The sequence below is a fragment of the Homo sapiens genome, chromosome 16, assembly GCF_000001405.40.
Source record: "Homo sapiens chromosome 16, GRCh38.p14 Primary Assembly".
NCBI classification, from domain to species: Eukaryota; Metazoa; Chordata; class Mammalia; order Primates; family Hominidae; genus Homo; species Homo sapiens.
Window position 1 is genome coordinate 21,977,198 of NC_000016.10, and position 25,830 is coordinate 22,003,027.

General features: G+C 43.7%; 2 protein-coding genes and 2 pseudogenes across 6 annotated transcripts in view, besides 1 other annotated feature; 3 read left to right on the top strand and 1 right to left on the bottom strand.

Annotated features, from left to right (window-relative positions):
• The window catches only part of UQCRC2 (ubiquinol-cytochrome c reductase core protein 2), a 30,300-nt gene extending 23,837 nt beyond the window's left edge, over window positions 1–6,463 (top strand). Inside the window, exons 13-14 of the mRNA NM_003366.4 lie at window positions 3,350–3,503; window positions 5,891–6,463. Of these exons, the coding sequence (NP_003357.2) occupies window positions 3,350–3,503; window positions 5,891–5,974 (238 nt within the window). The 3' untranslated portion in view covers window positions 5,975–6,463. The remainder of the gene's footprint in view (window positions 1–3,349; window positions 3,504–5,890) is intronic.
• The window catches only part of PDZD9 (PDZ domain containing 9), a 43,577-nt gene extending 19,658 nt beyond the window's left edge, over window positions 1–23,919 (bottom strand). Inside the window, exons 1-5 of one of the 5 annotated variants that reach the window (NM_001370530.1) lie at window positions 23,820–23,919; window positions 19,125–19,304; window positions 18,041–18,111; window positions 11,405–11,594; window positions 6,668–7,463 (exon numbers count right to left, since the gene is read on the bottom strand). In NM_001370530.1, the coding sequence (NP_001357459.1) occupies window positions 7,070–7,463; window positions 11,405–11,594; window positions 18,041–18,065 (609 nt within the window). In that variant the 5' untranslated portion in view covers window positions 18,066–18,111; window positions 19,125–19,304; window positions 23,820–23,919 and the 3' untranslated portion in view covers window positions 6,668–7,069. Of the gene's footprint in view, window positions 1–6,667; window positions 7,464–11,404; window positions 11,595–18,040; window positions 18,112–19,124; window positions 19,305–23,819 lie in introns of those variants that run through there. The other 4 variants (NM_001363519.1, XM_017023109.2, XM_047433888.1 and 1 more) reach the window with 4 other exon arrangements.
• LOC100420644 (cell division cycle associated 8 pseudogene) lies at window positions 2,898–3,281 on the top strand (annotated as a pseudogene).
• Window positions 21,611–22,238, top strand: LOC100420536 (islet cell autoantigen 1, 69kDa pseudogene; annotated as a pseudogene).
• Window positions 24,065–24,114: an enhancer, noted in NCBI's record as "active region_10565". NCBI's record gives its function as "activates an Ori minimal core promoter by ATAC-STARR-seq in GM12878 lymphoblastoid cells {active_cell/tissue: GM12878}" and the evidence as "EXISTENCE:reporter gene assay evidence [ECO:0000049][PMID:35858748]".

Genomic DNA, 25,830 nt, shown 5'->3' on the forward strand with positions numbered 1-25,830 from the left:
TTTAAAACTAGCCAGGTGTGGTAGTGTGTGCCTGTAGCCTCAGCTACTCAGGAGGCTGAAGAGGGGGGATTGCTTGAGCCCACGAGTTTGAGGCTGCAGTGAACTAAGATCACGCCATTGCACACTAGCCTGGGCAACAGAGCAAGACCCTGTCTCTTAAAAAAAAAAAATGTATTTCTAAGTCACAAATCTAAAGAGATTGTACCAGTTTATAATCATACCACCAGTATATAAGAGTACCTATTCTACAATAGTTTCTTTCTTCATAACTAATTTATACCCAAAAAAGATCTGATTTTGTTTTGTTTTATAAGAAAGACTAAAATACTTGTCTGCTATTTGGCAATTTATAAATCCCCACTGTCCAGATTGAAAGTGCTATCAACACTCCTAATTCATTAGTAGTTCGAGGGTTTCTCTAAAAGAGACAGACTTGGGACAAAGTTGGAAATCAACCTGCATTTTCATACAGCCGCTTAAGACATTTAAGTTTGACTCCATCTACTTAGAACAATTCAAAATGTGAATCTTGCAACTCCAGTGGTCGTTATGATCATTTAGTATTGCCCACAGGGGAAGCAGAATTACAACCCAGGATGGAACAACCTTTTGGTCATTTCTGTTCCCATTAGTATTGTTAGTTTTGTTATGCTGAGCACACTACAAAGTTGCATCTCTTGTATAAGTACAACACAATTTATTAAATATTGTATACATAGAACCAAGAATCGATAGGATGCAGGGCTGCTTGATTGTACCAGAAACAAAACATGATGAGAATACATTGAAACACTGGATTTACTTAAGAAAAACCTAAGTTTTTCAAATCTAATTTATTTAAGAAAACGTATTTTCTTAATAAGTGTAACACAGTTCTTACAAGGTATGGTAATAAGCAGAAAGTAGAATTTTGAATATTAATGTCAAAGTATGTTTTCTGCCATTTTGATGGAGTTGATACTTTTTCTTGTAAGTTCTTCCTGTAGTGAAAGAGAGAAAGTGAGGTGTCATTGCCGAAAGGACACACTAATAACCTCTTGGTAGTTTATTGCAGGTAAAATCATTTTTTAATTAAGCTGACAACGTGGTAAAACTGCAGCATTAAATTGTAATTATGTTTAAATGGAAGTCTTTCTGTAGAGTGTTAAAGGATGATAAACGTTTGAGGTTCAAATAACTCGACTGTCTTATCAAACACCATGTCTATAAGTAATAAGTTTCTGGGAGAATTGTGAATTGGATTTTGTTTTATTTCAAGTGGATGCTTTTGTGCCCATATTTAAGCTGCCGTTGCTTACAAGACCTGTACTGCCCTTCCCCACCTGCCTTTTCCATCATACCCTATGCTCACAGACAAATCTCAGCAAGAGGCAGGAGTTGCTTCACTAATCAAAACCTTACATTAAAATAGTTTTACCTAGATCTAAGTTCTAGTCCCAAATCAAAAAGCAATCTGTGGAGTTTTCAGTATAATTTCGTACTGACAGCTTTCCAAATAGTAACGTAAACGGTTCACGTACTTGGTGAACTGAAGAAATAGAATGGAGGCCATTAGCACTGTAAGTTGTTAGTTTGCCTGTTTACCAAAAATATGTTGAGTTTCGGGGCACATACCTTAAAATTGCCCTGTTTCACTGTGTAAGAGGAACTGGCTTGACTACTTCACCCTTGGTGAAAACAAACAGGCCCTAAAAGAGGCAGCAACAGCTGAAGTGGATATCACAGAAATAAACAGACAGCAGAAGCTCTTCAGACACCCCCGAAACCTGCCAAAACTCACAGGTAATACAAGTGAAACGATAGCATAAGAAGAAAATAAACATGAGAATCTTCAAACTACAAGCATTGAACGGTATCCTCCATCCAAGAAGAGAACCCACTTCATACAAGGAAAAGGCAAAAGGAAAAGGTCAAGACTGTGACCTTTATAACACTGTGACCCCAGCTGTGGGCCAGGTGGAGTTGTCTGTGGTGACACCAAGTACAGGCCTGACACCCTGGTTTGACAGAAGGCTCTTCAAGATCCCTGGTCTTCACACTGTAGCAGCCAAAAGGTAGGTTTACAATATACACTGTCCCCAACTTGCCATGGATCAATTATAATTTTTCAACTTGACTATGGAGGAAAACCATCGCAATTTCAGCTTCCAGTCATGGGTCACATAACGATGGGGATACATTCTGAGAAATGTGGTGTTAGGTGGTTTCATCACTGTGTGAACCTCAGTGTTCAGACAAATCTAGATGGTATAGCCTACTACACACATGGGCTCTATGGTATAGTCTATTGCTCTTAGGCTACAAACCTGTATAGCATGTACTATAGTACTGAATACTGTAGGCAGTTATAACACAAAGGTAAGTATTTGTGCATCTAAACATAGGAAAGGTACAGTAAAAATACAGCACAAAAGATAAAAAAATGGTATGCCATTTTTATGGCATAGCTCCTGCTTTCGAGTGAGTCAGTGAGTGAGTGGTGAGTAAATGGGAAGGGCTGGGACATTACTGTGCACTGCTGTAGATACTAAACACTGTAAACATAGGCTACGCTAAATTTATTTTTTTAAAATTGCACTACAACATTATGTTGTCAGTAAGTAATAGGAATCTTTCAGCTCCCTAATAATCTTAACGGGACCACCATCATATATGTGGTCCATCATTGACCAAAAACATCATTATGTAGTACATGACTATACCTTGAATTTCGATCTTTTCCTAGGCTAGTGATATGCAGTACATGAGATAATCAATGCTTCCTTACAAAATGGGCTTATGTTAGAAGACTTTTGCCCAGCTGCAGGCTATTGTAAGTGTTCTGAGCACATATGAGATAACCTGGGCCAAGCTATGATGTTCGATACGTTAGGTGTATTAAATGCACTTTTGACTGCCATCTCAGTGGATGACAGCCTTCTCACTGACAGCAGAGAGATCTTCCTCACTGTGCCAGTGGGCAGGAGAAAGAGCATGCTGCGACTGGCCAGTGACATGCAGAGGATCCAGATTGCACAACCGGATCCAGAGGCCTTGGGAAGCATTAGGGAGCTCTCCAGCTGTCTCACTCAAATCTGTAGCAGCATATGGACCCACAAATGGAGGCCAAAGTGGGCCCTCAATTGGACACTTTGGCAACCCTGAAGAGACTTCTTCCCTTCAGACTTACTGTTTTAGTATGTTCCAGAGAAGGGAGTGGCATTCTTCTTGGGGAATTCAGGAAGAGGGAGACACGCTGTTACTCTATCCATTAAATAAAGCTTTGATGTTCACAGCCCCCCGCCACCACTCAGAAAAAAAAAATAATTGCCTTGCTCTCTAAAACTGACTTCTGCCTTTTATTGGACAGGAACAAGCTGAAAGCTGGATACCTAATGTCAGTGGAGTCTTCTGAGTGTTTCCTGGAAGAAGTCGGGTCCCAGGCTCTAGTTGCTGGTTCTTACATGCCACCATCCACAGTCCTTCAGCAGATTGATTCAGTGGCTAATGCTGATATCATAAATGTAAGTAAATGAAAACTTAACGATTTAACAACAGAGAACTTAACCTTAATGATCCAATTTCAGAAGGATGCATAAGCGTCCTTGGGCAGTGTATTATTCTTATGTTTGGTGCTCATCTACTTAATGTGGAGGCAGGAGGGCTCATTCCCATAAGATCCGCAACAAGCTTCCCTGTCAGCTCGAGTATATGTATCTTCCTCCTTCAAATAAACTACCATTAGGTTAAACTGTGATGTCAGTAAGAGGGCTGCCATCCACTGAGATGGCAGTCAAAAGTGCATTTAATACACCTAACGTATCAAACGTTAGGTTAAACTAATGGTAGTTTATAAAATGGGCTTATGTTAGATGACTAGAAGTAAAGAAGAGTCAAATATTAGCAGTTTCATATGATCCAACCTAAATAGTGAAGTTTGCTATTTTTCCTCTTCAGTCCTAGCAATATTTCACCATCTAGCATCTTAAGATTTTCTTTACTCTTCTCAGCCTAGGACATTCTCTTGTTCTTGCTAATTTTTTTTTCACATATATTATTGTTCCCTACAATATTGAGCTGTTTTGAGGGCAAGGACTATGTCATGTACTTCTTTGTGTTCCCTGCTGTGCCTAACAAGCACATGACCTACAGAATTAATCCAAAGTAAGTGGGTTTTCCCCATTTTCTACATTAAACTTGCCAACTTGCTTTCTACTGTAGATGTCTCGGCCATCTTCTCACCAACAGGTCTACCTTGTATAGGGACAGTGGGGATAAGAAAAAATAAAAAACTAAGCTGGGTGCAGTGGCTCATTCCTGTAATCCCAGCACTTTGGAAGGCTGAGGTGGGCAGATTGCTTGAGCCCAGGAGTTCAATACCAGACTGGGCAATGTAGCAAAACCCCATCTCTACAAAAAAGTACAAAAATTAGCTAGGCTTGGTGGCATGCGCCTGTAGTCCCAGCTACTCAGGAGCTCATGGGGCTGAGGTGGGAAGGTGGCTTGAGCCTGGGAGGCAGAGGTTGCAGCGAGCCGAGATCATGCCACTGTACTCCAGGCTGGGCAACAGAGTGAGACCCTGTCTCAAATAAAAAAGAGACAAGGCTATTTTAAGATAGTAACCCTGACTTGATTTCACTTCGCCCCAATCGTCATTTCATACTCTTCTTTTTTTTTTTTTTGAGACGGAGTCTTGCTCTGTTGCCCAGGCTGGAGTGCAGTGGCGCGATCTCGGCTCAGTACAACCTCCGCCTCCCGGGTTCACGCCATTTTCCTGCCTCAGCCTTCCTAGTAACTGGGACTACAGGTGCCCACCACCACGGCCGGCTAATTTTTTGTATTTTTAGTAGAGACGGGGTTTTACCATGTTAGCCAGGATGGTCTCGATCTCCTGACCTCGTGATCCACCCGCCTCAGCCTTCCAAAGTGCTGGGATTACAGGTGTGAATCAACGCGCCCAGCCCATTTGGTACTCTTTTAAATGGCTGTCTTCATCTTATATCCTATCATTATGTGCGTCCCAACCCGACTGCTTCCACCACCACCTCTCCTTCATAGTAATAAGATAAGCTGGCCTGACAGAATATGGGGGCTGCTGCTCCACCTACACCTGACTCATGATACTACACTTAACCAGCCTTTGAACTTGGAAGTAGTGGCATAAAGAATCCTCTAGGGTATCAAGTTTTACTTTTAAGTTAACAATCAATGTATTTTTATTGACCCAGACTATTTGCCATTGTAATACCGAAACAGGAAAGTATATCCCTGCCTGAAGCCACACTACTCTATTTGACAGTGTCAGTGTTGTTTTCCTTATCTCTCTTTGAACAGCTACCCTCTTACCAGTGTTGCTCTTGCTTGGTTCATTACACATACAATGGGACTTTCAGAGAAACAGCTAAGCTTTTCCTCCCACACTGTCCCAAATTAAAGCACCAGCCATCTCCTAGTTAATTTTCACAACAGCTATTATAGTAATTGCTGGCTTAGAATGTCCTATCGAAGGCCAGGTTGGTGGCTCACGCCTGTAATCCCAGCACTTTGGGAGGTTAAGGTGAGTGGATCACTTGAGGCTAGGAGTTTGAGACCAGCCTGGCCAACATGGCGAAATCCCGTCTCTACTAAAAATACAAAAATTAGCTGGGCATAGTGATACATGCCTGTAATCCCAGCTCCTTGGGAGGGTGAGGCAGAGAATTGCTTGAACCTGGGAGGCGGAGGCTGCAGTGAGCCAAGATCGCAGCACTGCACTCCACACTGGGTGACAGAGCGAGACTCCACCTCAAAAAAAAAAAAAAAAAAAAGAATGTCCTATCCATAAATTCTTGAAATGACAAAATAAGTTCGCCTGCTTGATGATATATATTTTTATTTTTGTTAATTTTGTCTTTTGTTTGTTTCTTTAAAGGCGGCAAAGAAGTTTGTTTCTGGCCAGAAGTCAATGGCAGCAAGTGGAAATTTGGGACATACACCTTTTGTTGATGAGTTGTAATACTGATGCACACATTACAGGAGAGAGCTGAACGTTCTCTCAGCCCAGAGCAGCAAACACATGAAAGTCAGAAGTCTCTAATATATCATTTGTCTTTTTTCCAGTGAGGTAAAATAAGGCATAAATGCAGGTAATTATTCCCAGCTGACCTAAAGTCAATAAAACATTCTGTTTAAGTGTTTTTCTTACGTTTTTCTCAATGAGTTAATCAACAAGTATTTATTATGTGCTGATATCTTTGTTTTAGATGCTTTAAAGGAGACAGGAATATAATTATTGAGTATAGAAGCATCAGAAACTATTAAAATTAAGGCTAAGTGGCTATCGGGGTAAATAGTGCCAGATTACTATTGGTGGCGTTTAAGATGAAAGCAAGTTCAAAATTTGTCATTTTGGGTGTCAACAGCTAAATGGTCTGGTTTTTACCCCTGTTTTGCCTTTTTTGCAATAAAATTATTTCCAAAAAACATACATTTCCTATCAATCATATCCTATATTCCCATTCATTCATTTTTTTATGTCTGATTTATCTTCATTGACAGAGTTTTGTTTTTCTCTCATCTCCTGTCTCTCCCTTATCTGTTACTATCCTGTCTCTTCCAAATAATTAACTCTCAATTCAACATTTACAGTAAAAGAAGGGCTAAAAAGGGGAAAAAAAAAGAATTCTAATGTGAATAACTAGCCAAAGAATTATGTCTCTTAGTTATTTTAATTATAGTACTTGAAGTTTACCAAAAAAAAGAGAGAAACTAAATATTTAAAGAAAAATGTAGTGTTTACATAAAGTGACATTCTCTACTATGTTCAGACATTCTGATATTGGATTTCTCTACGGCATTTTCTAAAAGAAAGAAATTCTTCTCAAAAAGGAGGGTCTTATTCTGAAAATAAGATTTGTGAGGCCTGCAAGAACCCAAGGAAGTCTTTAGATAATCCTGTTGAAGAACATCTCTAAAGGCTTTATAACGCAGTCATAAGAGAAGAGAATTGGTGAGTCTACAGACAGTCCTTGATAAGTACAGCAAACTTGTGCCTGGTGAGGCACAAAACTTGGGTGTCTGCAAGATAAATGCTCATATGACCACAGATTTGCTAACCAACCTTTGATACCAGTTGGGCTTTACCCTCTTCAACTTGGGCACAATCTTCCAGCCAAAATGCATCTGAGGTAGAGGAGGTAGAGGAGGAAGAGCTTTCATTGTCTTGCTTCACCATTATCCAGTATGGAGAAGGGGCCCTCACTTCTTTCTTGTCGTCTCTGTGAATCATCACGTCACAATTAATGTCTTTTCCTACACTAATAGTATGGTTCTTCTTCTTATATCCATGCCAGTCTCTGGAGATGGATATTGGTCTCCTTGCAGGGTGATGCACAGTTGACCACGGATATCTATAATATTGAAGTCTTTTATCTAAATCTACATTTTCATTATCATCACTGCTTGTGAAAGATTCATCTTTTGCCAGCTCAATTTTCTTTGGTGTGCTGAAATGAAAAGAATAGTGAATAAAATAGATTCTTCATGTCTAAACATTTATGGTCCCCTAACAAGATGCCTTATAACTTGCTTTGACTCATAAAAGATACAATTTAGCTTTAGCATTACCTTTCTGTGTCATTGAAATGTTTCTCTTTTTTAAATCGTCTTGAAATCTTTTTCCATTTCTAAATGGAAATCAAATTCTGCCTTAAATTACTTCACCATACCTTAAAAAGTTTTGCACAGACTTATACTAGACTACTGACCAGAATATTAGGAGGTGTTAAAGGGTAGGTTAATTTCACTGCAGCTAAAGTGACGGATTCAACCTGGCCATCTCCTGAGAACTCTATTCTTGTGGCTCACGTGGCATTAACACAACATTACTGATTTCCAGAGGAGTCAGGAAGTCAGGAAATAGTGGGCCTTAAGGATCTTCAACATCCTAGTCATTAGTAAGTCTTAGAGTCTTTTTTTTAGAGAGGGTCTTGCTCTGTCACCCTTGCTGGAGTGCAGTGGTACAATCATAGCTCACTGCAACCTTGAATTCCTGGGCTCAAGTGACCCTCTGGCCTCTGCTTCCAAAGTAGTTGAGACTACAGGTGTGTATGCTGTATGCCACCGCACCTGGCTAATTTTTATTTATTTTTATTTATTTATTTATTTTTAAAACAGGATCTCCCTATGTTGCCCATGCCTGTCTCAAACTCCTGGCCTCAAGCAATCTTTACTTTGGCCTCCAAAGTGCTAGGATTACAGGCATGAGCCACTGTGCCCAGCCAGGTTTTTGTTGTTGTTGTTGTTGTTGTTTTTAACTTTCTCCAATTATTGACTTTCTTGATTGTTGAAACTAGGTGGTGCTTGCCTGCTAGCACCTCCAGGTCTCTGAACTTTCCTAATGCCTACAGTACCTGTGCTTGCTTTAACTTTCCAGAATGAATGCTCTGTCACCTGCTTTCCCTCATCCTGGTGCTATTGCCCAGCAGAACCAAAACTAGATCTTTGTGATTACAAATCTCTGGTACATTCTGCCCTGCTAAAAGGAAATAGGTTTCTTCCCTGCCAACCTGTTAAGACTTCTGGTGTTATCACTAATAACCTTGGCAGTCTGCCTGTTGTATTTGCTTCCAATAATTTGAATGGCTTTTCCAAAAGTTTATCTCTTCCAGTAATAAACAGTTGATAATGAGTAATTTTTACTGAGAGCCACTAGTCTTAAATACTGATTTTCTTTGTCTGATTTGCCTTCAGACACACCTAGGTCTTCCTGAACAGCACATGAATTTTTTTTTTAAATCCAAGTATTAGTAACTTTTTTTTTTCAGACTGCAGGGGGAATCCTTGGCAACTCTGATGGTTAGGTAACCATAAAGGACAGGTAAATTGTCATTAGGTAATAAAGCCACAACCCTGCAGAGGTCAGGATTGGCTAGAAACAAACTTTCTATACCACTTGGCCTACCCAGAGCGTTACATGGAGAATTTCTCCAGTGTGTATACCCAGTGCCATTTTCTCCTGGAAAAGTTTATACTAGCTTTGTGAAAGCATCTTTTTCCTTCTTCTTTCCCTGCCGCGTTATACATAAGTTACTAAAATGCCTCAGATATGGGTACTTTGCCTAATTAAGAAAGGGAATCAGCAGGTGCTTGGTATTGTTTGTGGGTTTTCGCCTCTTACTTAAGTTGTACTGTTCTATCTTTTCTTTGCTTTTGAATGGTCAGTCTACCATCCTTAGAATTTAATATTCTGGATCTCAAAACTCCTCCATGTAATGAAAATGCTTAGAACATAGTTGTTATGTAATCACATGAGCCCAGGCTTTTAGAGTCGTGCCCTCCAGTGTAGGAGTCGCTGAGTAGGATTTGATTGTGAGTTGTGATCGTGCTACTACACTCCAGCCTGAGTGACAGAGTGAGACCCTGTCTCAAAAATAAGACTTTTAAAATTAAAAATTAAAAACAAGTGAACCACTGACCACATGAAAGTCCTAGGGCAATTTTAGCAAAACAAGACAGACTCAGTCCCTGCCTTGATGGAGTTCACATTCTCCCAGGGAAACACAGTGAACAACTGATTACACAGATTATTTCATTAAAATTGGGATAAATGTGAAGGAGCGAGCTGTGAGAGCATATGTCAGGTGGACCTGTTTCTAGGAAGACCCCTTGGAGAAGTTACACTGGAGCCTTCAAGGGTGACTACTGAAGAGCAAAGTTACAAACATGTTGCACACAGAGAAGAGCAAGTGCAAAGACCCTGAGGCAAAACAAAAGGCAGAGAGCTGGAAGCTAAAGGGGGCTAGAGAAGGATGGGGAAAGCAGTATGAGTTGAAGTTGGAATGGTTTGCAGAGGCCAGCTGAACCCCATAGAGCATCATTGGCCAATGTGAGGATTTTGACATTTATCCAAAGAACAAAAAGTCTTAAGAGATTTTTTGCAGGAACATGCCAGGATCAGATTTGCATTACAAAAAGATCATTCTGGCCAGGCTTGGTGGCTCATGCCTGTAATCCAACACTTTGAGAGGCCGAGGCAGGCAGATCACCTGAGGTCAGGAGTTCGAAACCAGCCTGGCCAACGTGGTGAAACTTCGTCTCTATTAAAAATACAAAAATTAGCTGGGTGTGTTGGCATGCGCCTGTAATCCCAGCTACCCTGGAGGCTGAGGCAGGAGAATCACTTGAACCCGAGAGGCAGAGGTTGCAGTGAGCCAAGGTCACGCCACTACACTCCAGCCTGGGTGACAAGAGCAAAACCTCGTCTCCAAGAAAAAAAAAATACAGTTTTGGTGATAATACAGTTTGAAAGTAATTAGCATGTGGATAGTCATAGAAACCACAGGCATCAATGAAACTGGCTAGGAGAAAGGACACCAAGAGGAAATGGCCAGAGGTAACAGGAAAATCAGGGGAGTGTGGTGTCACAGAAGCCTGGGAAGTGCTATTTCAAGAAGAGAGTGGGTGGAAATTGTTAAGTGTCTAATGCTGCTCAGAAGCCAAGCAAGATAAAGACAGAAGAATCTAGTGGGATCAGAAGTGTGAAGGCTATGGGTGGCCCTGGGAAAAGGACTCAGCCAAGGGATGAAAGCAAAGCCTAGATTGAAGTGGGTGGAGGAGTGTCTGGGAAGTGGCGTCTTTCGAGGAAACAGAGGTGTCTAATACAGCTTTTAGCAAGTTGGGAGTGGATGCAAAAGACTCCAGTGGCTAAAGAGGGTAGGGAGAGGAGAGTGGACTGAAGATAGGATTTGCCAAGATGGGAGAAGTTTAAAAAGGCTTAGATGTTATTGGGAAGGACCCAGAGAACAAAAAGTTGAATACGGAAAAGAAAATAGGATTTGCAAGAAGCACTTTTTTTTTTTTTTTTTTTTTTTGAGACAAAGTCTCGCTCTATCTCCAGGCTGGAGTGCAGTGGTGCGATCTCGGCTCACTGCAACCTCCGACTCCCTGATTCGAGCGATTCTCCTGCCTCAGCCTCCCGAATAGCTGGAATTACAGGCACGCGCCACCACATCCAGCTAATTTTTGTAATTTACTAGTAGAGACGGGGTTTCACCATGTTGGCCAGGATGGTCTCGATTTCGTGACCTCATGATCCACCCGCCTCAGCCTCCCAAAGTGCTGGGATTACAGGCATGATTCACCACACCTGGCCCACAAGAAGCATTTTTAAGGGCTGACTCGGGAAAGAGGGGCACCATACAGGTAGGCATGGGGACAAAATTCCCAACCGATGACTTGTTTTTTAACTCCAGGTTGACTTCATCGTGCTTTCTCATATTAGATCCTACAGATCTAATACCAGAAACCCAGGAAATTACTCTGACAGTGTCACCAGTCCTCCTGTCATGATCCTTATCATTTGATAATTGTCACATTAAACCATCTATGCCTCACAGGCCCTGGGATTCTGTATTATAACAAAGAGTTCCTAAAATGAACTATTTACCTTGTTACTGGGAATTTGGCCTCAGGGATTAAATCATATATTTCTTGCCATTCTTCAGGAATGTTAATAAAATCTCGGTAAACCTTGATTTGTAGCACTGTTCCAATAGTGATATGTTGCAAAAGCTGTAAAAATTCTCGAAGAGTATATCCTAACACATTGGCATGGCCAACACTAATCAGAACATCACCTGAAGAGGGAAAAAATTATGTATCAGTAAAACTAGAGGTTTAAAGGGACTATATTGATTTCTGGCTTTATTGTGAGGTATTTCATTTTATGGGTTCATATTGTTGATTCTTTTTGAACCAAAACCAGGCTTCAGCCTTTTTTTTTTTTTTTTTTTTGAGATGAAGTCTAACTGTCACCCATGCTGGAGTGCAGTGGCATGATCTCAGCTCACTGCAAGCTCCGCCTCCCAGGTTCAAGTGGTTCTCCTGCCTCAGCCTCCCAAGTAGCTAGGATTATGGGCATGTGCCATCAAGCCTGGCTAATTTTGTTTTTTTTTTTTAGTAGAGATGGGGTTTCACCATGTTGGCCAGGCTGGTCTCAAACTCCTGACCTCAGGTGATCTGTCCACCTCGGCCTGCCAAAGTGCTAGGATTACAGGCATGAGCCACCGTACCCGGCCCAGCCTTTATTTAATAAAGATGTTCATGTCCATGATATGAATGTCCTTTGCATACTGAAGAATGTATGCAAGATGTTTCTTAATAGCAGTATATTGGTAGACATTATATGATGTTTTTGAGACGTTTCTGAAGTTCTTGGTGTGACAGAGGCTAAAAAACATTTATAATCGGAACCAGCTGTTAGGATTCTAAAAATAGATTAGTTTCAGATAAAATGAATGGCTATTACTAGAAAAGAAAAAACCACTTACACTAAGTGGTGAATAAATGACCTACTTTCTATTATACCTGCCTGGCAATTTCCAGTGCCCTCCACAGTTAATAGACCATATTAAACATAAAGCCTTTCATTTTAATTCTCTACCCTTGTGCAGTATTAGTTGAGCAAATAATTCTGTATAAAACATTGGGCAATTAGGCATGCTTTAACTGTAAGATGTGTATGCAGTGAGTATGTTGGTTTAAAGGGATTTGACAGCTAGGTTTCCCTACCTTAGGGCAACGCAGGATAAGGAAAGAAACAAGATGGGCAACCATGCAGCTTCCGAGTCCCTGGCAGGTGGGAAGAGGACTACATCTTGAGCACTAACCCCCGAAACCCCCAAATTGAAGGAAGCTAAAAAGACCAATTTTTCACTTGCTCCAACCTCCCCCATGTCCCCACCTCCAGCAGCTAGGTCATGGACCTGTGAGTGAGATCCAGCTACTTGACACTCCCACCTGGGTCACTGAACCTGGAGGAGGAGATGCAAAAGAGTGACAGGAGCTTCTAGTTGCTAGGGGTAGTTACACACAGCTCTTGGTTCTCTCACCATTTTCCAAGCCTGCTTCTCCAGCCTTTTGGGAGATTCTGTCAGACTCAGTATCCCAAATTCAGTGCATTAACAGAAGTGTTTTCTGTTTTTTGCAATGAGGAACCCTGGCTGCTACAACGGCATTCAGCAAGACTTCAGAAAGGAATACAAAGGATTTGCTTTTTAAGGACCAGCTCACATTGGGCAAAATCTTAAGTCTTCAGATCTTACTAGTACTGACCTTCTGGAGACCCTCAATCAGCCTCATTCTAAGACAGCTGAAGCCTAACCTCAAAGAAGAAAAGGGTCAAGAAGTGCCTTCTCTGATGCATGCACTGGGCTTCAATCAGGAATTACACTGATCCCAAAAGAAGCCTCTAAGGATGCCAAGGACAAATGTCCATAGCTCTAGATCCTATCAGAAACAAAAGTTCCCAGAATTCCAGAAAACAAATACTTACAAGGGTGGAGAAAAACCTTCTACTTTGGTCTTAAGCAGTAGCTGGGGGTAATACAATCAACCATGTATCTGAAGCTCACTTCAGAATGAAACAAGGCTACCTGCAGCTTGAGCAATATGAAACAGCTGCTCATCCTACTGAGGTTAATTACAATGGCAAAACAAAACAAAACAAAACAAAAACAAAACCCTCCCCGGATGAGCTTACTTACCTAATGTTAAAAGCAGTGTTTATAGCTGAAAGCTATGGCTTGGCATTCTGCTTAATTATGTTGTAAAAGTGTGACTTTTATCAAGAGGGCAGAAAATAAACAGCTTAATTTCCTGACCGTTCTGGCTGTAAACCAAACATGTCAGCATGTGAATGTGATTACTCTAGCAATAGATATTAACATTGCCCTTCATACAGAAACACCAATTTCGTACTTATGAACACCAACCTCATTACACCTTTTTTTTTCTGTTTTAATGGGCTATAGGATGACATTATATAAACTTTGTCTCGATTACCTACAGTAAATCAACTTTGCAGCAGCCAAGCCACTACTGAAAAATATTTTATCTTTTTCATCTCTCCCAACTAGGCTGGAAGTTCCTTAAGTTCCTCAAGGCTAAGGACCATGTCTGTGCCGTTCACCACTACACCCCCAGTGCCTAGCTGGGTGTCTGCACACACCAGGCCTTTAGGAACTGCTTAGGCAGTAGCCAGTCCATGACTTGTATTTACTGTTGAAGCTACATTAATTTCTTTTTTTTTTTTTCTCCTGAGACAGGGTCTCACTTTGTCACCCAGGCTGGAATGCAGGGATACAAATACAGCTCACTGCAGCCTCGACCTCCAGGGCTCAAGCAACCCTCCTGCCTCAGCCCCTGGAGGAGCTGGGACTGCAAGCGCATATGCCCACCATGTTGGGCTAGTTTTTGTATTTTTTATTGAAATGGGGTTTTGTCATGTTGCCCCAGCTGGTCTCGAACTCCTGAGCTCAATTTGCCCGCCTCAGCTTCTCAAAGTGCTGAGATTCCAGGTGTGTGCTATCGCACCCGGCCTACATTAATTTCTCAAGACTTAGAATGTCAGAATCTGTTAAGGCCATACTGCCCAAAAGGAACTAAAAGTTTAGCCAGAATAAACTAACACTAAACTAAATTAGGAAATCAAGGTGAAACCCTATCCTGAAACACCAAAGGAGAGAAATTTCAGCACATAGATAAAAGATAATGGGGCTGGGAGGAAACGGGGTCAAAGAAATAGCATGTTTCTACAATTATCATCTCTCGAGATCTTATCATCATTGTCTAAAACCACTGAGTTACAGATTTTAAAGCCTAGAATGATGCCGAGGAGAACTGGCAGGCTTGTCACGAAGAGATTTGGGGCTCTGGACTTCCTCTGTATTCAAATCTCATTTCTAGTTGTTAGGCAATTGACTAGAAAGGTATGGGCTTTCTAGGCACACATCGGTTCAAATCCCAGCTCTGAACACAGACTCAGTTGTGTAACTAAGATGAACAAGTTATTTCATCTCTCTACGCCTCTGTATTTCATTATCTACATTTCAGGAGTGTTGCAAACTTTAAATTAGATAACACGTGGGGCCAGGTGAAGTGGCTCATGCCTGTAATCCCAGCACTTTGGGAGACTGAGGCAGGAGGATTGCTTGAGCCCAGGGGTTCGAGGCTGCAGTGAGCTATGATTGCGCCACTGCACTCCTGCACTCCAGCCTGTGTGACAGTGAGACCATGTCTCTTATTCAAATAAAATTAAAAATTGGAGTTAAAAAAAGATAATAGATGGGGAAATATCTCCCACAATGCCTAGGACAAATATTTATTATTTATTTATTAAGCAAAGACATAACAAATGAGCCACTACTTTAGGTGTGACGGTTAATATTGTCAACTTGATCGGTTCAAAGGATGCAAAGTATTGTTTCTGGGTGTGTCTGTGAAGGTGTTGCCAGAAAAGATTAACATTTGAGTCAATGGACTTGGAGAGGCAGACCCAACCCTCAATCTGGGTAGGCACCATCCAATCAGCTACCAGCAAGGCTAGAAAAAGCAGGTGGAAAAAGGTGGAATGAGCAGACTTGCTGAGTCTTCCAGCCTTCATCTTTCTCCTGTGCTGGATGCTTCCTGCCCTCGAACATCAGACTCAAGTTCTTTGGCTTTTGGACTCTTGGACTTACACCAGTGTTTTGCCAGGGTTTCTCAGGCCTTCAGCCACAGACTGGAGGCTACACTGTCGGCTTCCCAACTTTTGAGGTTTTGGGACTCGGACTGAGCCACTATTGGCTTCCCTGCTCTTCAGCTTGCAGATGGAGGGGCAGAACAATATGGTTTGGTTCTGTGTCCCCATCCAAATGTCATTGCCGATTGTAATCCCCACCTGTGGAGGGAGGGAGGTGATTGGATCACGGGGGTGGTTTCCCCCATGCTGTCATGATAGTGAGTGAGTTCTCATGAGATCTGATGGTTTTATGAGTGTTTGACAGCTCCTCCTTCACACACTCACACTCCCTCCTGCCGCCTTGTGAAGAAAATGCCTGATTCCTCTTCCACTATGATTGTAAGTTTCCTGAGGCCACCCCAGCCGTACGGAACTGTGAGTCAATTAAACCTCCTTCATTTATAAATTATCCAGTCTCAGGCAGTATCTTTACAGCAGTGTAAGAATGCACTAATACAGTAGGTGAGTCCTGGATTTAAAAGATGAAATTCAAGACTGCTTCTAACCTCAAAGAGCCCACTAACTATAGCCGTGCCATGAGATTCTCTGTTGCCCACCTAAAAGCATACTCCTGTCCCACTCTAGCACCCTGGAGTATGCACCCGGATCATCACCCAGCATCTGTCACCTGACCTTGAAGAAGCTGAGAAGCAGCAGCTTCCCCATGGGACCTGTCCTGGAGTTCTTTTGTTCTGGTAAGTCCAGAACTCTCCACCGGCCGCCGTTTATTCTCCACCACCAAGTAGTGATGTGTGGGGAAAATGCTTTGGATTTTAAGGTATAGCAAACTGTTTCATAAAACCATTATGTATCTGCTTTCTTCTTTAATCCATTGCTTGGAACCCTTAGCTGCAAATTAGAATCACCTGAGGAGCTTTTAAAACATAAACTGCCCTGTCCCAGTCCAAGAACGATTGAATCAAAAACCTGTAGGGAGATAGGGACCAGGCATCTTGGTTTTAAAAACTTCCCAGATGATTCTAACAGGTAACCAGAGTTGCAAACCAGTGGCTTAATCCACTGGGACCCCCATACAGCCATCATTTTTTATTAAAACACACACATGCAAAAGTCTAGAGAATCTGTAAGAACAGCCTAAGAGATGATTGCCAATATTTCTGTAGCACTTCAGTTTTAAAAGCACTTTCATAAAAATTATTTCATCAGGTTGGGCTCAATGGCTCACACCTGTAATCCCAGTACTTTTGGAGGCCACATGGGAGGATTGCTTGAGGCCAGGAGTTTGAGACCAGCCTGGACAACATAGTGAGACACCACCCACCCACCACCTCCATTGCCCATGTCTACAAAAAAATAAAAAATAAAATAAAAATTAGCTGGGCATGGTGGTGCACGCCTGAGTCCCAGCTACTGAGGAGGCTGAAGCAGGAGGATCACTTGAGCCAAGGAGTTTAAGGCTGCAGTGAGCCATGATCAAGCCACTGCACTCCAGCATGGGTGACAGAGTGATACCCCATCTATCAAACAAACATGCATTATTTCATCAAATCTGCGCAACCTCTGACAAACACAGGAATATCCCAATTCAAAGATGAGGTGACTAAGGCCTGAAAGGTTAAGTGGCTTTGCCCAGGGTCACAGAACTAAAAAGTGTCAGACCCTGAGCCTGAATCAGGACAGCTAACACAATGTTTTTTCTTTCTCACCATGGCGCCAGCCCATTCTGCCTCCCCAACTCCTGGGCACAGTACTAGGCCCAGGCCAGGCACTGAGAAAACACCTCTTGAACTGCATGGAAAATTCATTCACCCAAAGACACGAGGAGCAGGGCAGTATTGGTAAAGCCCTTAGGCTCTGAAGTCTGACAGAGAAGGTTCAAATCCCAGCTCCTCAGAGTGACCATGGGAGAGTTACTAAACATCTGATTCCTTGTCTGCAAGGTGGTTTCATGCAGAATCTAGCTCAGGGATTGTGAGAGTGAAATGAGATCGTGCAGCTAAGTGTTAGCAATGCTTAATACTGCCTACGAAAGAAAATATCTTTACGCACTGAGAGCCATAGCTCTGGAGTAACATGGTCCCTGAATCCCCACTTAGGAGAAACAGGTGACCTGGACAAGGAACTCAATCTCACTGACCCTCATTAAGTAAATTTAATTTTTTTTTTTTTTTTAGAGGTAGGGTCTCACTCTGTTACCCAGGTTGGCATGCAGTGGCACAATCATAGCTCACTACAGCCTCGGCCTCCTGCACTCAAGTGATCCTCCCACCTCAGCCTCCTGAGTAGCTAGGATTACGGGCACGCACCATGCCGGGCTGCTTTCGTTTTGTTGTAGAAATGGTGATATGGTTTGGATTTGTGTCCCCGCCCACATCTCATGTTCAACTGTAGTCCCCGGTGTTGGAGGAGGGGCCTGGGGGGAGGTGACTGGATCACAAGGGCAGATTTCCCCCTTCCTGTTCTCGTGATAGCGAGTGAGTTCTTATGAGATCTGGTTGTTTAAACGTGTGTAGCACCTCCCCCTACTCTCTCTTCCTCCCGCTCCAACCATGTAAGACATACCTCCTTCCTCTTCACCTTCTGCCATGATTGTAAGTTTCCTGAGGCCTCCCCAGCCATGCTTCCTGTACAGCCTGCAGAACCATGAGCCAATTAAACCTCTTTTCTTATAAATGACCCAGTTTCAGGTATTTCTTTATAGCAGTGCAAGAACGGACTAATATAGACAGCATCTCACTGTGTTGCTCAGGCTGGCCTTGAATTCCTGGCATCAACGGATCCTCCCACCTTGGCTTCCCAAAGTGCTGGAATTACAGGTGTAAGCCACTGTACCCAGCCAGAATTAAATGAATTAATATGCCCAACAGTGATAGTTATATAAGTGATAGCCATTGGCTGGCCCATAGAAAGTTCTCAACTAATGTCATATCCTTTTTTTTTGAGACAGAGTCTCACTCTGTCACCCAGGCTGGAGTACAGTGCTGCCATCTCAGCTCACTGCAACCTCCGCCTCCCGGGTTCAAGAGATTCTCCTGCCTGAGCCTCCTGAGTAGCTGGGACTACAGGCGCCCGCCACTAGGCCCAGCTAATTTTTGTATTTGTATTTATTTTATTTATTTATTTATTTAATTATTTTTTGAGACGGAGTCTCTGTCACTCAGGCTGGAGTGCAGTGGCGCGATCTCAGCTCACTGCAACCTCCACTTCCTGGGTACAAGCGATTCTCCTGCCTCAGCCTCTCAAGTAGCTGGCATTACAGGCATGTGCCACCACGCCTGGCTAATTTTTGTATTTTTAATAGAGACAGGGTTTCACCATGTTGGCCAGGCTGGTCTCGAACTCCCTACCTCAGGATCCACCCACCTCAGCCTCCCAAAGTGCTGGGATTACAGGCATGAGCCACTGCTCCCAGCCAGTTTTTGTATTTTTAGTAGAGACAAAGTTTTACCATGTTGGCCAGGCTGGTCTCAAACTCCTGACCTTAAGTGATCCACCCCGCCTTGGCCTCCCAAAGTGCTGGGATTACAGGCATGAGCCAGCATGCCCGTCATATCCTTATAGTTACACTGAAACCCGGTGACCCGAGTCACCCTGCAGGCAGATGGGCAGGATGGGTGGTTGGGAAGCATGGCGAAAGGGCAATCACCTGGCTGGAGTTTCCCGTCGTTGGCTGCAGCCCCCTTCCTGATGAGGTGGGTGATCTGGAGGTAGGGTCCATGCTGGATGATGATGAGGCCTAATCCCAGGCTACCCACAGTGAGTTTGGTCTGCTGTGTTTTGCTCAAGTTGTGTACAGATGTTTTGACCTTGTTGCTGACTCCTCTTTCTAACCAAAAGAGGGGAACTTATTTCAGTCCTTCACCAAGACAGAAGCATGGCCATACCTACTGGGGTTCTGAAGCCAGATCCCTGGGACAGTTATTTAATCCCTGTTCCTCAGATTCCTTGTCAGTAAAATGAGGATAAAAATGTTCACCTTGGAGAGCTCTTCTGAAAATTAAATGGGTGCATTAAAGGGCTTTTGCAGAGTCTGGCATATTGTGAGTGCTTAATCAATATTAGTTAGTATTATCTGTTCACTTAACAAATATTTATTGATACAGTGTGCTAGGCCCTGGGTTTACCATGGTGAGCAAAACAGATGTGTTGGGTTTTTTGGTTTTAACAGACAATGTCTCACTCTGTTGCCCAGGCTGGAGTGCAGCAGCATTATCAGGGCTCACTGCAGCCTCGATCTCCTGGGCTCAAGGGCTCCTCCCACCTCAGCCTCCTAAGTAGCTGGGACTACTGGCATGTGCTACTATACACGGCTAATTTTTATTGTTTTTGTAGAGACAGGGTCTCACTATATTGGCCAGGCTAGTCTTGAACTCCTGGACTCAAGCAATCCTCCCACCTCAGCCTCCCAAAGTGCTGGCATTACAGGTGTGAGCCACCGTGCCTGGCCCACATGTGTTTCTTGTCCTCATGAATTTTACAGCCTAGTGGAGGGGACAGATATCAATCAGTCATGTAAATATATGTTGGATAACAAACTGTAACTCATGCTATGAAAGAAAAGGACGGAGGGCTCTGAGAATGAGTAACAGAGGGCCAAAGTCTCATCTGGGGATGGCGGGTCAAGCTTCCAGCAGGGCTAAAATTTGAATTAAGGCCAAAAGGACCAATAGGAAATATTTAGGCAAAGAAAGGTGGATCCGGAGCAAATTGTGTTAAGGTCTGAGAAAGGAAGGAACAGTCCCTGTCAGAGGAGGGGGAGGCAGGAGGAGCGAGGACCAACCAGACAGAGGCTGCTTCTCAGACTTCCTTAGTGAAAAGGCTCCGAAGTGAGTAAAGCTGGACATGGTTAGATGAAATGAAATGACATGAAAATGACAGGGTCCTGGCACATGTCATGGCAGTGACAGCGGAAATGAGCAGTGGATGGATCCAAAAAGCACATGGGGGAAAATCCGAAGGCCTTGGAGACAAGGGGTAGTGGGAGAGGTTGAAATATGTTTTCTACAGAACCAAATCTCACAAGAAAAATTTCAGGGACTAAAAGGACATTCAAAACAACAAGTTAATTTCCCAAGAGGAAGTTGCTAGGAAACTCCTTTTCGGTACACAGGAAGCTCCTGGGGAGATCTGTTTTCAGCACACTTTTCCAGCATTTCACACACAACTCCTTTCCATAAGGACAGGTGACACACAAGCTTGCCAAGTCCATGTGACTGTGGTGTTTTCAGGGCCACTGCTGAGGGAGAGGCTCCCCCAGCTCCCTACCTCTGGCTGTGGGGAGCTGGAGGGGTTCATGGCCCTTTCCTCTAAAGCAAATGTCCTTGCCCATCTCCAACCTCACCTTCCCCCAAACCACAGATGCTCTCTGTTTGGGAAAATAAAATAGCATAATATAAACAAGATACCATCTTCAGAGACCTTTCAGGGTTCTGGGAGCAACTGGGGGCAGGATACGCCCTGCCTGAGCCTCTGGTTCCTGAGCAAACAGAGAAGTCACATCTTGGGCAAGGTCCAGTGGTTCCTATCTCAGTTTGTAAATTCAATATGCTTATAAGGTAAGCTACCAGGAGCCCACTTTTAAAAGTCAGCAGGGTTAAGTAAAAGAAGCCAGACTCAAAAGGCTCCTTACAGAAGAAGGACATGTCTCAGGAGTTTGATCCAGACCTCTATAAGCAAATGCAGAAGTTCGGGAAGGCAAGAAACACAAGTACATCTTGAAAAAAAAACAAAAAAAACTTTGTGCAAGGCACGGTAGCTCACGCCTGTAATCCCAGCACTTTAGGAGGCCAAGGCGGGTAGATCACGAGATCAGGAGTTCGAGACCAGCCTGGCCAACATGGCGAAACCTGTCTCTAAGTTACAAAAAATTAGCTGGGCATGGTGGCGCGGGCCTGTAATCCCAGCTACTTGGGAGGCTGAGGCACGAGAATCGCTTGAACCCAGGAGGCAGAGGTTGCAGTGAGCTGAGATGGCGCCATTGTACTCCAGCCTGGGTGACAGGGCGAGACTCTGTCTCAAAAACAAAAAAAAATTATCTGGGCATGTTGGTGCATGCCTGTAATCCCAGCTACAAGCCTGGGTGACAGAGCAAGACTCCATCTCAAAAAAAAAAAAAAAAAAAAAAAAAGAGAGAGAAAAAAACCTTGACAAAGTGAAGTTGGATGTAGATTTTCTTGGAGCAAGTAAATACATGCAATCTCCTGTCTCAAATGCTAGCAACATACCAGACCACTCTGCTTCATTTTGGAGAGAAGACTTCTCACACTATGGCAGCCATCCATGAGAGCTTCACAGGTTATCAGCCATATGAAGTCACTACTTTAAAGCACTTACAAAACCCTCTGAAAAAACTAGTTGAGAAAGAAGAAAAGAAGCTCACCCAGCAGGAAAGCACAGATGTAACAGTGCAGGAGCTGAGTCAATTAATTTCATTAGAGGATGAAAACCACGACAAGGAAAACACTGAAGATGGAAAAGGTATTTTATGTGTTTTAGGCAAAGGCTCTTCACACAGTGCATGCTCAGGATGAACTATTAGACATGAAACCTGAGGAAAGTGCTCGCTAGGGCCCAGTGGCAGGGACCCTGGAACCCGAAGGTACTGACAAAGATGATCCTACTGCTGTTGAAAGTGAGATCTTCAATGCTTCCTCCCTGGAAAAGGGTGAGCTCAGAAAAGAGTGAGCTGCTGTGTTTGGGGACAACCAGGTGGAGGAGGCAGCACTATGGTCCTCGGAGAGCCAGACCCCAAGCACCAGACTAAAATATGAAAGACTTACAGGTTTTGCTACAAGGCTAGTCAGACAGCAATGTCAACCTTCCCAAGGACAAGCAGTCCAAATGACAACAGCCCTGCAGTGAAAAAGCCTAAGGCTGTCTGGCACCTGCCTGCCTAGTTCAGCCTCTTTGCCAACCTCAAGTCTTATCAAATCCTGATGCTGTGCGGAAAAAAGCCATAAAGAACAAGAATTGCTCAGTGCAGGAGTCTGCATCCTTCAGTAAGCCCACCTGGGGGCTAGCAGAAGTATAAAGTGATTAGAGCCTGGGCAACATAGTGACACCTCATCTCTTCTATTTAGGCTGGGCATGGTGGCTCACACCTGTAATCCCAGCACTTTGGGAGGCCGAGGGTGGGCGGATCACTTGGGGTCAGGAGTTCGAGACCAGCCTGGCCAGCATGGTGAAACACCGTTGCTACTGAAAACACAAAAATCAGCCAGGCGTGGTGGTTCACGCCTGTAATCCAAGCTACTCTGGAGGCTGAGGGGCAAGAATCGCTTGAACCCGCCTGGAAGGCGGGGGTTGCAGTAAGCCAAGATCATGCCGCTGCACTCTAGCCTGGGTCACAGAGCAAGACTCTGTCTCAAAAAAAAAAAAAAAATTAGCTGAATGTGGTGGTGCATGCCTACAGTCCCAGCTATGGGAGGCTGATGCAGGAGGATTGCTTGAGCCCAAGAATTGGAGGCTGCAGTGAGCCAGGAGCATACCACTGCACTCCAGCCTGAGCGACAGAACAAGACTCTGTCTCTAAAAATAAAATACAGTGACCCATATGCTATTTTAAGATTTATGTGCCCTTTTAATAAAAATGAAAGGGCCAAAGTCCCTATTTACATTGGTATAATTTTTTAAAGGCTCCTTACTATGTGATTTCATTTTTATGATGTTCTCCATGGAAAAGGCAAAAAAAAAAAAACGCTGTAAAAAACAGATGGGGGTGTGAGGAGCTGCAGTGGGGTGGGGTTTGGCTGCAACTGGGCATTGCAAAGTAATTTTAGGGAGTGGTGGAACTGTTCCCTATCTTGATGGAGGGGGTGGTTCAACGTGGGTATAGCTTGTCAAAACGGTAGCTGTACTTTTAAAAGGGGGGATCTTACTGCATGGAAATTATACCTTGATAAAAATAACGATGGCCAAGGCGGGCGGATCACTTGAGGTCAGGAGTTTGAGACCAGCCTGGCCAACATGGTGAAATCCCATCTCTACTAAAAATAAAAAATTAGCTGGGCATGGTGGCAGGCACCTGTAATCCCAGCTACTCGGGAGGCTAAGGCAGAGGAATCACTTGAGCCTGGGAGGCAGAGGTTGCAGTGAGCTGAGATCGCGCCACTGCACTCCAGCCTGGGGGACAAAGCAAGACTCCTTCTCAAATGATGATGATGATGATGATGATGATGATGATGATGATGATGATGATGATAATGATGATGATGATAACAACAACGATGGAGAGAGGTTATCTCCCAGGCCAAGAGTGCACCGTTGCCATTTTACAGAGGAGGAACATTGACGAAGGCTTGGTCCCCAGGGCTTCTTCACCCGCTTCCTTCTCCCCAGTTACCTTTTTTGTTTTTGTGGGAGGCCTTCTGCATGGTCCCGGGAGGTCAGGCAGCCCGGGAGGGCCTCCCGGAGCAGAGGCTGGAGTCAGTCCCAATGCCAACAGTTTCGAACCTTGCCCGCGGGCACTGCCCTCGGGATGGCCGCCAGGGGGCGCTGCGCCGCCACTGCCCAGAAATTGGGCGGCAGTGAGGTCGCCGCAAGGCTTCCCGTGGACCCTGCAAAACGTGGCGTGGGCATTGCACACCATTGTACTGTATGGAAACTTCTGCAGAGGTTAGCACCGTGCCTGACCCACGGTGGTTTCTTCATTCCTTCTTTTCTTTTTCTTTTTTTAAGAGACGGGCAGGGGGTGGGGGTCTCACTATGTTGCTCAGGCTCAACACAACTGTTGCACTATGGGCTCAAGCGATCTGCCCGCCTCAGCCTCCCAAAGTGCTGGGATTACAGGCATGAGCCACCGCGCTTGGCTTCTTCATTCATTCTTGGTGAACCTAAGAAATAGGGAGGGGGAGAAGGCACAGAGGAGGGTGTCTCAAAGATGTGAGGTGGTCTGCAGAGGAAGATCACAGCCAGAAGATCACAGGAGATCACAGAATACCTAGAAGATCAGAGAATCCCCCGCTGCACTTCTAATAATGGTATTTTAAAAAAATTGTTACATCAGTAGCTCCAATGCTTTGGAACTGCACTTTTTTTCATGAATGTTTTGAATAAGAAAAGGCCCCAGGGTGGCCTAAAAAAAAATGAGTCACTATTAGGAGAGGCACTATTAATGCTTCCTTCTTTTTTCCAAGATAATTCTTCCTCCCACACACATTCACTCATACAACAAGTATTTACAGGGAGCTGTTCTGTCATTTACTGATACTGGGGACACAACAGTAAGCAAGACAAACACAGAAACACAGGCTCTATCCTCTTGAAACCTGTACTTAAAAAACAGATGAAGTGGACAATTTTAGGAAAATATAAATTATTAAAAATAAATTCTAGGCCAGGTGTGGTGTCTAACACCTGTAATCCTAGGTACTCAGGAGACTGAGGCAGGAGGACTGCTTGAGCCCAGGAGTTTGAGATCAGCCTGGGCAACATAGTGAGACCCTTTCTCTATAAAAAAAATTTAAAAATTAGCTGGGCATGGTGGTGCACATCTGTAGTCCTAGCTACTCAGGAGGCTGAGATGGGAGGATCACTTGAGCCCAGGATTCAAGGCTGCAGTGAGCTATGATTGAGTCACCACCTTCCAGCCTGGGTGATGGAGCAAGATCCTGTCTCAAAAAATAAAAATGAATAAATGAGTTAGTAAATTCTAGAAGAAAGAGAAAACCTAATGAGGTAGGCCCTGGTGTTATCCCCGGTCTGATGAAACTGAGAGGCTAAGCACCTTGCCCCATCCCTTCAACAAACAGTCATTAACCACCTATTAGGTGTCAGGCACTGTGCAAAGATTTCCATGGTAGATCTGGTTATGTCCAAGCTTATTCTGTTGTTTCTGTGGCTCTACACAGACAATAAGCCAGGGCAGATTCCTCTTTAGGTTCCTTTTTTTTTTTTTTTTTTTTGAGATGGGGTCTCATTCTGTCACCCAGGCTGGAGTGCAGTGACAAAATCTCAGCTCACTGCAACCTCCGCCTTCCAGGCCCAAGCGATCCTTCCACCTCAGCCACCAGAGTAGCTGGGACCACAAGCCTGTGTCACCACGCCCAGCTAATTTTTGTATTTTTAGTAGAGACAGGGTTTTGCCATGTTGGCCAGACTGGTCTCCAACTCCTGAGCTCAGGGTGATCCACCCGCCTTGGCCTCCCAAAGTGCTGGGATTACAGGCGTGAGCGCCAGGACAGATTTCTCATTAGATAAAACCTGTGTCGTAGAGACCAGTACAAAGGGCTATTCTCCACCTCAAGTCTCCTGTGGGTGACTTCTTGTGACAGGTCACCTTTCCTCTTCCAAACAGTCTGGCAGGGGTCTACATAGATACCAACTTAATTCTATCATAAAATACATCTTTTTCC